This window comes from Homo sapiens, chromosome 2 (genome assembly GCF_000001405.40).
Source record: "Homo sapiens chromosome 2, GRCh38.p14 Primary Assembly".
NCBI classification, from domain to species: domain Eukaryota; kingdom Metazoa; phylum Chordata; class Mammalia; order Primates; family Hominidae; genus Homo; species Homo sapiens.
Window position 1 is genome coordinate 43584597 of NC_000002.12, and position 12434 is coordinate 43597030.

Consider the following 12434-nt stretch of genomic DNA (forward strand, 5'->3'; position numbering starts at 1 on the left):
ATAAATTCTTAAAGGCAACCAATATGCAACAAGACAATAACAATAGTATTTCAGAAGCTGCAAAGCAGATGGATGAGTGATAACTGACAGCAGAATCAAGAAAAGTGGATACTAAGCCAGGGAACAAGCCCAGAAGCCATTTGATTTGTAGTCCCAAATGGCTCAGAAACTGTTGGCACTAGGTACTCCTTGATGTGGAGGTAAATAAAGGATTGAAGACAGGAAGACTGAATACCTCCGAGCCAGCAGACAACTTGTTTATCTTTAGAAAAGGTAAAACAGGTGTTTGGAAAGGAAGATAGCACACACAGATAAGGCAGCAACATATTACAAAAAGGAGAATTAGGTAAATACATGCACAGTGCACGCCAAATACTGAGACCTCAGCCTTCTTCCCTCACTCAGCAACCAGAATATTAAGACAATGGTTTGGAAGAGTCTTCCGTGGCAAATCCAGTACCTAAGCAAAAAGATTTAAACGTACTGACATCTTTAGGTTTCCCCAAGGAAGAGTTACCCCAAGAAAGAGCTCAGCTAGACTAGCCTACAATAAAACCTGCAGTCAACTCCACTCAATAGGCGCAGACATTCAAATCAATCCTTGGTGTCCCGTTATTAAACATGACTACCCTGGCTGGGCACAGTGGCTCACACCTATAATCCTAGCACTTTGGGAGCCAAGGAGGGAGGATCACTTGAGCCAATGAGTTCAAGACTAGCCTGGGCATTATAGTGAGACCTCATTCCTACAAAAAAAAAAAAAAAAAAAAAATTAGCCAAGCATGGTGGCGGGCACCTGTAGTCCCAGCTACTTGGGAGACTGAGGTGGGAGTATCACTTGAACCCAGGGAGGTAGAGGTGCAGTGAGCCAAGATTGTACCACTGTACTCAAGCCTGGGTAACAGAATGAGACCCTGTCACAAAGAAAAAAAAATGTAGATAGATAGATAGATAGATAGATAGATAGATAGATAGATAGATAGAAAGAAATACATAATTGCCCAGCCAAGGATCACCAGACTTCTGAGGAAAGCTTCTAATAAGAAATATACTGAACAAAACCAGCAAACAGAAAAAAGCAACTTGGAAGAAACAAAGACTATGTAAAGATGATAAAAAACAAAAAAACTATCATGAATATATCCTCAGAGAAGTAACAGAGGATATTTCACTCACAAAATAAAACAGGATGCTATGAAAAAGGAACACACTCAGGTGAGGAAAAGAGTTCTTTCACTTATTCTCATAACAATTTATTAAATTTTTAATTTTTCATTTAAATATTTTAATAAAGTTCAAATATAAAAACTTTGAATTTATTAAAATTAAATATCAAACCTCTAAAAAAAATTTTAAATAATTGGGTCTAATATTAATGGAGAAAGGGGCTGGGCATAGTGACTAACGCCTGTAATCTCAACACTTCGGGAGGCTAAAGCGGGCACATTACTTCAGTCCAGTAGTTTAAGACCAGCCTGGGCAACATAGTGAGACTCTGTCTCCAAAAAAATAAAAAAAACTATCTGGGTGTGGTGGTGCATGCCTGTAGTCCCAGCTACGTGGGAAGCTGAGGTGATACAAACACTTGAGCCCAGGAGGTTGAGGCTGCAGCGAGCTATGATCACACCACTGCACTACAGCCTGGGTGACACAGCAAGACCCCATCTCAAAAAAAATATAAAAGTGATAATATTAATGAAAAGGGATGAAAAGATCACATTCTGAGACTTTTAAATTTTTCTTTGTACAAAGATAATGTACAACTGCAAGTGTGCACACACAAATGCCAACATATAGCACTTGCCTATTTTCTTCCAGGATTTCAATTAAACTCTTCTGCAGAAAATGAAGCACTGAAACAAAAAGAATATGACAAATAAGAATTTAAAACTGTGAAGCTCAATTTCAATAAAATAAAATATTTTATATCACTGTTATCCAAAATGATATCATGATATGGAAACAAAAATTTAAAAGGAAGGGTCATGATGTACCTAAGTTATCTACAATGCTCTACCTATTACCAAGAAACTTAAAAGAGCCAGTTCCAAAATGACTCATACAAGCCATCAACTCATGGAACAAAATAAAATAATAGGACTTACCATTTTTAAGCAGATTATTAACACTTGCTCTACCTGTAGAGGAAAAAATGAACACTGGTAAGGAGTTTCACGACCAAAATCAATGTCATTTAAAAACTATGATGTGATGAGAGGGGTTAGCCAGAAAAAGGACTAGAAAAGTGCAGCCTTACCCAAGTTAAAGTTCTCCATACAGGAAGAAATATTGTCAGTAACTTTCCTGTAAGAGTATAAGTCAGTAGTATTCAATTCTTCCTGAAGACGAGAAGTAAAACGGTGCATAGCCTCAGGTAGAAAAAAATCAGGCAGGCTATTTAGTGAGCTAGAAAAAGAAACAAATATTAAAAATCTGACAATCTAATAGCCCCAGAATATGTGGAGAGGGAAGAGAATCATACAAATGTGGGAATACTGAACTAAATCTTCAAAATACAGCCAGAAAACTACAACTACACACTACCATCACTCGAATTTCCTGGCTTGTCAGCACATCTGGTCTCCCTGCTTCCACCTTGCTTCTCTCCCATCTCCCAGATTATTCTCAACAGAACAGGCAGAGTGACACCGTTAAAACACCATGTCACTTCTCTTACTAAAACCTCCAACAATATCCTTCTCGGTTAAAGTACTAGTTGAAGTGTTTACAGTGACCTACAAGGTCCTCCCGATACAATCTGGCACTACCATTAGCTCCTGACCTCATCTTTATTTATTTTTTTTCTTTTCTTGATTTTTAAAATGGCATCTATCACAATCCTGACCTCATCTTGATCTTTGTTCACTTAGCTCTAGCTACATGGCCTTGCTCTGTTCTGACATACCAGTCTTTGCTTCTGCTGTTTCCTCCATCCAAAATACTCTTCCTTCAAATATACCCAGCAATCACTGCCTCATCCCTTTCAGGTCAATCTCAATTACCTTATCATGTCTGAGCAAAGCTATATGAAGTGACCATAATATTTTAAATTGTAACCCTCACCCCATCCTTTATGTCCCCTTTCCTTCCTTCCCGCTTTTAGATAGCACTCATGCCATCTAATATCCTATAAATGTTACTTATTTATTTTGTCTATTTTCTATCTTCCCCTTAGAATGTAACCTCCATTCTGGACTGTTTCATTCATTCTACCCCCAGTTCCTAGAAGAGTGCTGAAACACAGTAGGCAGTCAATAAAAATTTATCAAATGAGTAAATTAAACATATCAATTTTGCCTCAATTTATATACATCAAAACTGATTGGCTTTGTTTTAAATATAACTGGACAGTTCAAAGTTTTTCTGGAAGAAAATAATTCAAAAATGGGAATATTCAGAATAAGAAGAGTCACTAGAGGGATGACTTAACACTGACATATAATTAAAACACTTTATCAAACTATAGTAAATAAAAGTGTGGTGTTGGTGTATGAATAATTGGACCTAACTCAGAAATCAAACCCATGTATATATGTGAACATATAACACAATAAGGTGGCATTCCAAATATGTGGGCAAAGATGGACGATTCAACAGTTTGGGTAAGTGGTTCCCCATATAAAAAAGAAAACTAAATTGAATCCCTACCTCACACTACATTCAAAGCTTAATTCCAGATGGACATAAAAGTTGAGCAAAAAAAAAAAAAATAGTATAAGGCCTGCAAATAATGTTTTAAATAATCTTGTATTACAGAAAGCACATATAGCAAGGTATAAAACTCAGAAATCTACATACACAAAAATTAGCTGAATTGATAACCAAAATAATATTTTAATTTTTGTAAAGACAAGACACCATGAGAAAGTTAAAGACAAGTAACAAAGGAATGTATTTGGCATATGATCTATAGAGAAGTCTTATAAATCAAGAAAACATTCTAACAAGAAAATGTACAAAGAATATGTAATAAAAAAAGTCAAATTCCACACATTAAAAAATGTTCAATTACACTAGTAATCTGGGATACACAAATTATAATGATAGCATTTTCCTTCATTAGATTTTAAAAGATTTAAAGATTGATAGTATCCAATGTTGGAAATATATGAAGAAGAAACAAGCATTCTAATTCAATGGGTAGTCTGGGGGAGTACAATTTAACAATATCTACCAAGAATTTCAATAGGCCTAATTTTTGGTCCAGAAATTCCACTTCTTGGAATTTATCTCAGAGAAATACACATATATAATTATATACATAAGAATATCACTGCAATGGGGAAGTGATTAAATTACTTTATACCATGTAATATAAATCATGTAATATGTACCATATATAGATACATACATGTCATATATATGGTACATTTAAATTTTGGTATATTCATATTACAGAATATTTATAGCTGAAAAAGTAAGGACTGCTGGTGGGAATGTAAAATGTTGCATATGGAAAACAGTATGACAGTTGCTCAAAAAATTACAAATAGTATTACCATATGGTCCAGCAATCCCACTTCTGGGTATATATCCAAAGAACTGAAAGCAGGATCTCAAATAGATATTTGCACACCCATGTTCATAGCAGCATTATTCACAACAGGCAAGCAGTGGAAGCAACCCAAATGTCCATTGAAAGATGCATGGATGAAAAAAATGCAGTATATGCATACAACAGAATATTAAGCCTTATAAGAGAAGAAAATCCTGTCATATGCTATAACAGGGATGAACCTTAAGGACATTATGTTAAGTGAAATAAGTCAGTCACAAAAATATAAATACAAATATTACACTAATATGAGGTATCTAAAGTAATCAAATTTATGAACGGAAAGTGGCTGCCAAGGGCTGAGCAGGAAATGGAGAGTTGTTACTTAATGTATACAGTTTCAGAGCTTAGCAGATGACAAGGTTCTAGAGATCATTGCACTGCAATATGAATACACTTAACAATAGCGAACTATGTACACTTAAAAATGGTTAAGACTCAAACATCATATGTTCTCACTCATAAGTGGAAGCTTATCTATGAGGATGCAAAGGCATAAGAATGATACAATGGCCTTTGGAGACTCAGGGGAAAGGGTGGGAAGGGGGTGAGAAATAAAAGACTACAAATTGTTGGGTACAGTATACACTGCTCAGGTGATGTGTGCACCAAAATCTCAGAAACCACCACTTATTCATGTAACCAAGTACCACCTGTTGCCCAAAAACCTATCGAAATGAAAATTAAAATTTAAAAAAAAAGAATTCATAAAAAAAAAAGGTTAAGACTGAGTTTTTATGTTATATGTCTTTTACTACAATTAGGATTTTATGACATGGAAATATCTCTAAGACATTCTTTAGTGAAAAAACAAGCTACAGAGCATTCTGTAGAGTATAATCTCGTTTACAGATATATATAAAAAAAGTAGAATGTAACACACATATGCTGACCTCAAAGAGAAGGTCTAGAAAGATAAATACCAAAACGGTAAGTGACAATCTTTACTAAGAAAAGTAAGATAAGCCCTAAACAATGAAATGGAAGCCTTAGTTTTTATTTTGTATAGTTCTATATCATTTGAAATTTTTATACCAAGCCTATATTCCTGTGTTATCTGTGTAAATATATATTTAAACCAAGAACAGATAGGACAAAAAGAGGAAAAAACAGCAAGATGACATTTAAACATAACCAATAAATGTAAATGGATTGAGGCAGGAGTAAGCAAACTACAGCCCACAGCCTGTTTATTAAGCATGTGACCTAAGAAGGCTTTTTATACTTTTAAAAAGTTGTAACTAGGCTGGGCGCAGTGGCTCACACCTGTAATCCCATCACTTTGGGAGGCTGAGAAGGCGGATCACAAGGTCAGGAGATCAAGACCATCCTGGCTATCATGGTGAAACCACATCTCTACTAAAAACACAAAAAATTAGCCGGGTGTGGTGGCTGAGGCAGGAGAATGGCGTGAACCCGGGAGGCAGAGCTGACAGTGAGCCAAGATCGCACCACTGCACTCCAGCCTGGGCGACAGAGCTAGACTCCGTCTCAAAAAAAAAAAAAAAAAAAAAATAGTTGTAACTAATCAATGAAACAGAGAACAAACCATATGAATGAACTTTTTGTGATCTGTATCAGTTCAGTTTTATCAAACCAAGGAAGGAACTTCAGTTACTTTTGGTCAAATTCAACATTTATAACACCCAACTTCCCTTCCTTTTTTTCTTACCTTGCCAATACTTTCTTCAAGGGATTCTTTAGACTCAAAGAAAGATAAATGCCTGCTAAGATATCCAAACAACTTTGAATAGTGGGATCACACATGCCATTTTTATCTGCTTTCTCCAGCAGAGGCACAATCTATAATACAAAACATTGAAGTAATTTTTATAATATCAAATATAGCAAAGTAACATGGTTACAGATACTCTTTGAAGTCTCAATTGCTGGGTACAGTGGCTCACCCCTGTAATCCCAACACTTTGGGAGGCTGAGGTGGGCAGATCGCTTGAGCCCAGGAGAGTTCGAGACAAGCTCGGGCAACATGGTGAAACCCTGTCTCTACAAAAAAATACAAAAATTAGCCAGGCATGGTGGCACATGCCTGTAGTCCCAGCTACTCAGGGGGCTGAGGCAGGAGGATTGCTTGAGCCCAGGAGGTTGAGGCTGTGGTTGAGCCAAGATCACACCAGTGCACTCCAGCCTGGGTAAGAGAGTGAGACCCTATCTCAAAAAAATAAATAAAACAAAGTGTCAATTACGTGAAATGTTTTCCATACTCCACTGTCAAGGATACTGATTTAAACACCTATTTCACTATTTATTAACTTTTTAAACTCATGTCCCCACCTCCCTCTTTACCCTCCAGACCCACCTCCACAGAGAATCACAGACCTGTTAATGGCTTACAGTAAAGAACAGCTGTAGCACTATTAAAAAACCAGTAATACATTTACTTGCTTTCCAAAAAAAAAAACTATGTGTGCTCAAATGGTAAATCCTAATACTGAAATACTAATAAGTATAATCTTTATATTTTAAATTAACTTTTAAATGTGTCTGCTAAAAAGTTTTGAAGATTCATATATTTTAAAATTTATCTCCACAAAAGAGGTATGCACATTATCTTCTACCTTATCTGTTTACAGTTCAATTATGATAGAAGTCTGAATATGGCTTCTATTGCTGCTTTGAATACAAGGATATTATACAATAAACAGAAAAAAAAAAATACTTATTTGCTAATGATAAACTGATATGCAATAATTAGGGACCAAAAACTGTCAGTGATTTTTTTTAAATCCTTAATAGCATGATACTCTTAAAGATGCATCCATGAATATCAATTCAGACTTACCTGTTTAATATAATGGATTTGTGACACTCCATCCGTGAGTTGCACACAATGTAACAGCAAAGAAGCTAGATTTTTCCCTTCCACATCAGCAAAAGCTATATAACATATACAAAAAAAAATTTTCAATGATTTAACAGTGAGTTAACTTTGCCTTTGTTGTGCATTCTACAAAATTTTTTAATTATAAACCATAGCAATAGGTGGAACATAGTCTGAAGACAGAATTTTAAGAAAATTGTTTTACATCCAAAACATAAGGAAAAATATAAAGAATTTGAATATTATATGCTAGGGGTCCCAGTCATTAAAATACTCTGCTTGCAAACTAGAAAAAAATATAATAAGGGAAACCAGAAGTCACCTACATTTCAAAGTTTCAAGGTCCTGATGGCAAATGGTCAGCGCAGCAACTTGCATTTCTTTCTTCTTCTTTACACCCATTTTAAATAGAATTAATAGTAGTCACTGCAAGAAAGAAGACTTTAAGGCATTAATGTAAGGTTTCTCAACCTCAGCACTATGATTTTTGGCTGGGTTCATTCTTTGTTGAACAGTATCATCCTATGCATTATGTTTCATGCATCCCCATCTCTACCCACTAGATGCCAGTGGCACCCTCCTCCCTCCCAAGTTCTGACAACCAAAATATGTCTCCAAACACTGTGAAGTGTCCCCTGGGGAGCAAAACTGCTCCAGAATGAGAATCACTGTCTAAGAATTTCTGATTTGAAGAAGAAAAATGTTTTAAGCTGAAGCTTATTACTGACTGAAGTTATTTTACCTACTATGACTCAGTCTTTGTATTTTAAAATACAGCAAACTTTCCTTTTAGTGAACATACACACAAAAAAACTGGGATAGTTTTTCCAAAGATAAAATACTTCAAACTAACCTCAGTGACTCATTAGACTAAGAGGAGGTACTACCGTGTCCTGATTTCTGCAAAAATGAAAAAAAATATTTTTTTAATGCTATTCTCTTGAGTTTGCTTTTATCGATACTTAACAAATCAACGGGTTCATAACAGGCTAAACAACCCAACTCAGAGACTACACAACTACACACTAATAGTACCATGCCATCTGGAAAGAAGTTGCTAGGGAAATGTCATAGGGCTCTTCTCTTGATGCAGTTAGCATCTTTAGCAGTATTTATGATGCAAATATTAGAGACTATAATGTAGTACATGTATAAAATAAATCTGGAAGGACATGTTGAATGATGGAATCAGGAATAAAAACAGGTCAATAAACTGGAATAACGAGCAATATGAAATTTACCAAGATGAAACAGAAATAAATACAAAGGGCTGCATTTAGTTTAGGGGAAAAAAACACAGAAAGAGAGGCTGGAGAGGCAAAACGTGGTTTGAAACAGCTCAACAGCCCAAGATGACTGCCAAAAACCACAGAAGTCAGCCATATCAGAGTGCATGATTTTATTCAAACAGGCCAGGTGACATGTAGAGCATTAGGTACAGCGCTGGCGGCCATACTCTAAGGAGCCATAACAAACAATGGAACTATTTCTGAAGGACCTAGAGAGCACCTCCTTCAGAGAACAGCTCAGTTAACCAAAGGTGTTTGGCCTGGAGAAAAAGTCAACAGAACAAGAGCCTTAAAACAGCTGCTAGACTGTTTTGGAGAAAAAGGGAATAGATTTATTTGTCTACTACAGACTTTTTTTTTTTTTTTTTTTTTGAGACGGAGTCTTGCTCCTTCGCCCATGCTGGAGTGCAGTGGCGCGATCTGCGCTCACTGCAAGCTCAGCCTCCTGGGTTCAGGCCATTCTCCTGCCTCAGCCTCCCGAGTAGCTGGGACTACAGGCGCCCGCCACCACGCCCGGCTAATTTTTTCTATTTTTAGTAGAGACGGGGTTTCATCATGTTAGCCAGGATGGTCTCGATCTCCTGACCTCGTGATCCACCCACCTCGGCCCCCCAAAGTGCTGGGATTACAGGCGTGAGCCACCGCGCCCAGCCTTAGACTTCTTGTCTTGCTATTAGATTAGTAAAAGTCAGTACAAGCTACAGGGAAACAGATTCCAGATCAATACAAAGGAAAAGCTCTATGGTCCCACTAAGGACTGGGCTACCTTTTAAACAAAGAAATTTTCCAACACCAGGAATATTCAAAGAGAAGATGACTGAATATTTTCTCTTGGACTCCTGAAACAGCTCCCTAACTGGTCTCCTGACTTCTACACTTACCTCCAAAGAGCCCATTCTGTTTACAATCATCAAAGCAATCTCTTTAAAAAAAACTCTCATCAAATTGAATTACTTACTCTCTTCCTTAAAACTTTCCAAGGGTTTCTAAATACACTTAGAATAAAATTCAAACTTGAGGCCAGGAGTGGGGGCTCGTGCCTGTAATCCCAGCACTTTGGGAGGCCGAGGCGGGTGGATCTCCTGAAGTCAGGAGTTCAAGACCAGCCTGGCCAACATGGTGAAACCCCGTCTGCACTAACTAAAAATACAAAAATTAGCCGGGTGTGGTGGCAGGCGCCTATAACCCCAGCTACTCCGGAGGCTGAGGCAGGAGAATGGCTTGAACCCAGGAGGCAGAGGTTGCAGTGAGCCGAGATCGTGCCACTGCACTCCAGCCTGGGAGACAAGAGCGAAACTCCATCTCAAATAAATAAATAAATAAATAAATAAATAAATACTTGAGATTTTGCCCTTCAAGGCCCTAAATAATCTGACCCTGCCTTCCTCCACTCTTCATCTCAAACCAATCTCCTCTTCACCATCTCAAGAGCTTTGTACTTCCTGATGCTCTTATTCCCACCTAAGAGGCTTTACACTTCTCAGTATCTCTGCCCCTTAATGTTCATTCCACATCTTTGCAAGACTGACTCCTTCTCACCATTCATGTTTCTGCTGCAACATTACCTTCTAAAAGCCTTCCATGACCACTCTATCTAAAATCTCACCAATACAACACACGTAGACACCATTTCCGTTAATTTTCTTCATAGCACTTACTAGTACCAGAAATTACCCTAACTTGTAAATTTGTATATTGTCTGTCTCACCTAGTAGCAAACTGAATGAAGGCAGCAACTTTAATCTATTTTGTTCATGTTTCAAGTCTCAATTTCCAAACCAGTGCCTGGCACATAGTAGGTGTTTAACAAACACTTCACGAATAAACAAATTAATTAACAAACATTTGTCAGAGATGTTCTAGAAGGGATATATGTCTTTAAGGGCAGGAAGGTGGACTATCTGGTACCTAAAATGCATTCTACATCTAAGTGACATTCTACATCTTAAGAACCTATGGTCTGTTTGGGAAGTAAGAAATCCATACAGTAATGGCAGGTGAGCAACCACTTAACCAAAAATGGACGCAGCTAGGAAAGTGTCGACAACAGAATAATTTGTAAAGGGATAGTCAGATCTAGAGGAATAGAGGCACGCTTCCTAAGAAAGTGACCATCGTACAAAGCCAGAAGAGACTGGGAAACCTAACTAGGGAGACTATTCTCTGGTGAAAGGTAAGCAAGTTTGCAGGAGGATTTGCTCTTGCAATTCTGAGGGCTACACAAAAGCAGACTCGGTAATTATGCCTGCTCAAATGATGCCTAAACGTGTGTCCTGAAGAACCAGGGTCCCCAAGGGGGTAAATCCCGTGTCTACCGCAAGGCCAGAAGGTGCCCAGTAAATTACACTCCTCCTAGGTCCCACTTACTGCTTCCCTTTAGAACGCTGCTTCACTCTACACCTTCCTGGCTGACTCCCACAAACATTCTCTGGGCGATTTCTGAACCACGTGGAGTCGAGGAATGACAGTGGGAGAAAGTGGTTAAAGTGCTGTCTCCATGGAGACCTTAGCGACCGGAAATCAGTTTCACAGCCGCCGAATCCTGGCGATACCAAAGGATGGGAATTGGTGTGGCTCGCCAGGCAGCCCTAGCAAAACTGGCCGAGCCGAGCTACCGCGGGTCTGGCAGGCAGGACACCTGGGAGCCAAACCTCGTGCACGTCGGCGTCTGAGAAGAGTCGCAGGCGCCTGGTCCAGTCCCGGAAGCAGGTCTCCTTCTACGGCGTCTCCGAGGCTCGCAGCGCGGTCCACGGTCGACTACCGGGTCAGGGCAAAGGGAGGGAGAGAGGGGTAACCTGGAGGAGTCATCGCGAGAATTGACCAAACGCAGCTCCTCCAATCAGGAGTTCGAGGAGGTCGTGACGTCACCGGGGTGGCCGGTAGCAATCCGGTTTAGTTAACCAGCCACTGTACCGTCAGCGCCGCGCGTTCCTCATGGCGTTAGGGCTGACGGGCCTTGTTGCTGAGGGGCCTTCATTCAACGGTCTCTTGTTGAATGAAAAGACCTCATTCTCTTCACATGCTTGGACGCCTGGGAAGCGCTTTTCTCCCAATCCAGACCTTCCACCTTTCTCCCACTCTGTTGGCCCAGTGCAGAGTCTAGGAGAAAACTACGTCTGGGACTCGGGAACGAGTCCAGGGAGTTTAGAGCCTGCGAGATGGGGCAGGGGTTTGGGCGGCGACTGAACGGAAGCCACGAGAAGGATTCGGACTAAAATGAGTAGTGCTGAACCAACGTGTGCCAAAGCGCATATATTCATTCAATAGATAATGAACTCTACTGTCAGAGCGTCGCCAAGCGCTAGCCTTGAAAGCTATCCCCTACTGAGGATACATGTATTACGCAGCACATACAAATTGTCAGATGGTTCAGTCCTTGAAAAATAAATACAATAACGGGGTGTCACTGGGAGCTGCGACAGTGGGCAAGATCAGGAAAGACCTGATGCTATTATCAGGAGTATTAATTTGGAAAATAGAGACATTTCAGTTCTCTAAACGTTAATGACTTAAGTTTTTAATAATTATTTTCTGAATTTTTTATATCAGCTTGCCTTGGTTTTCTTTATAGCTTTACCACATAATGTATGTATCACTATCTTGTTTCGTTCAATTTTGAAGCTTTTGGAATTGCGTATGTATTCTCCAGCAATTTGCTTCTTTCAGCATTGCTTTTCATATTCACCTACAGGTGGCTGTAGTGCTCTTCGCCCAGGCTGGAGTGCAGTGGCGCGATCTCGGCTCACTGCAA

The 12434-nt window shown here is 38.9% G+C and overlaps 1 protein-coding gene across 9 annotated transcripts in view; it reads right to left on the reverse strand.

Annotated features, from left to right (window-relative positions):
- The window catches only part of THADA (THADA armadillo repeat containing), a 365188-nt gene extending 353746 nt beyond the window's left edge, over nucleotides 1-11442 (reverse strand). For 6 of the 9 annotated variants that reach the window (NR_073394.2, NR_144316.2, NM_001345924.2 and 3 more), the window contains exons 1-7: nucleotides 11335-11442; nucleotides 7721-7820; nucleotides 7356-7450; nucleotides 6228-6358; nucleotides 2258-2406; nucleotides 2106-2138; nucleotides 1805-1853 (exon numbers count right to left, since the gene is read on the reverse strand). Coding sequence is in view for 7 of the 9 variants with exons in the window: in NM_001345924.2 (NP_001332853.1) it covers nucleotides 1805-1853; nucleotides 2106-2138; nucleotides 2258-2406; nucleotides 6228-6358; nucleotides 7356-7450; nucleotides 7721-7796 (533 nt within the window). In the remaining 2 variants the exon portion in view is untranslated. Of the gene's footprint in view, nucleotides 1-1804; nucleotides 1854-2105; nucleotides 2139-2257; nucleotides 2407-6227; nucleotides 6359-7355; nucleotides 7451-7720; nucleotides 7821-8247; nucleotides 8295-11050 lie in introns of all 9 variants that reach the window. The other 3 variants (NM_001083953.2, NM_001271643.2, NM_001345925.2) reach the window with 2 other exon arrangements.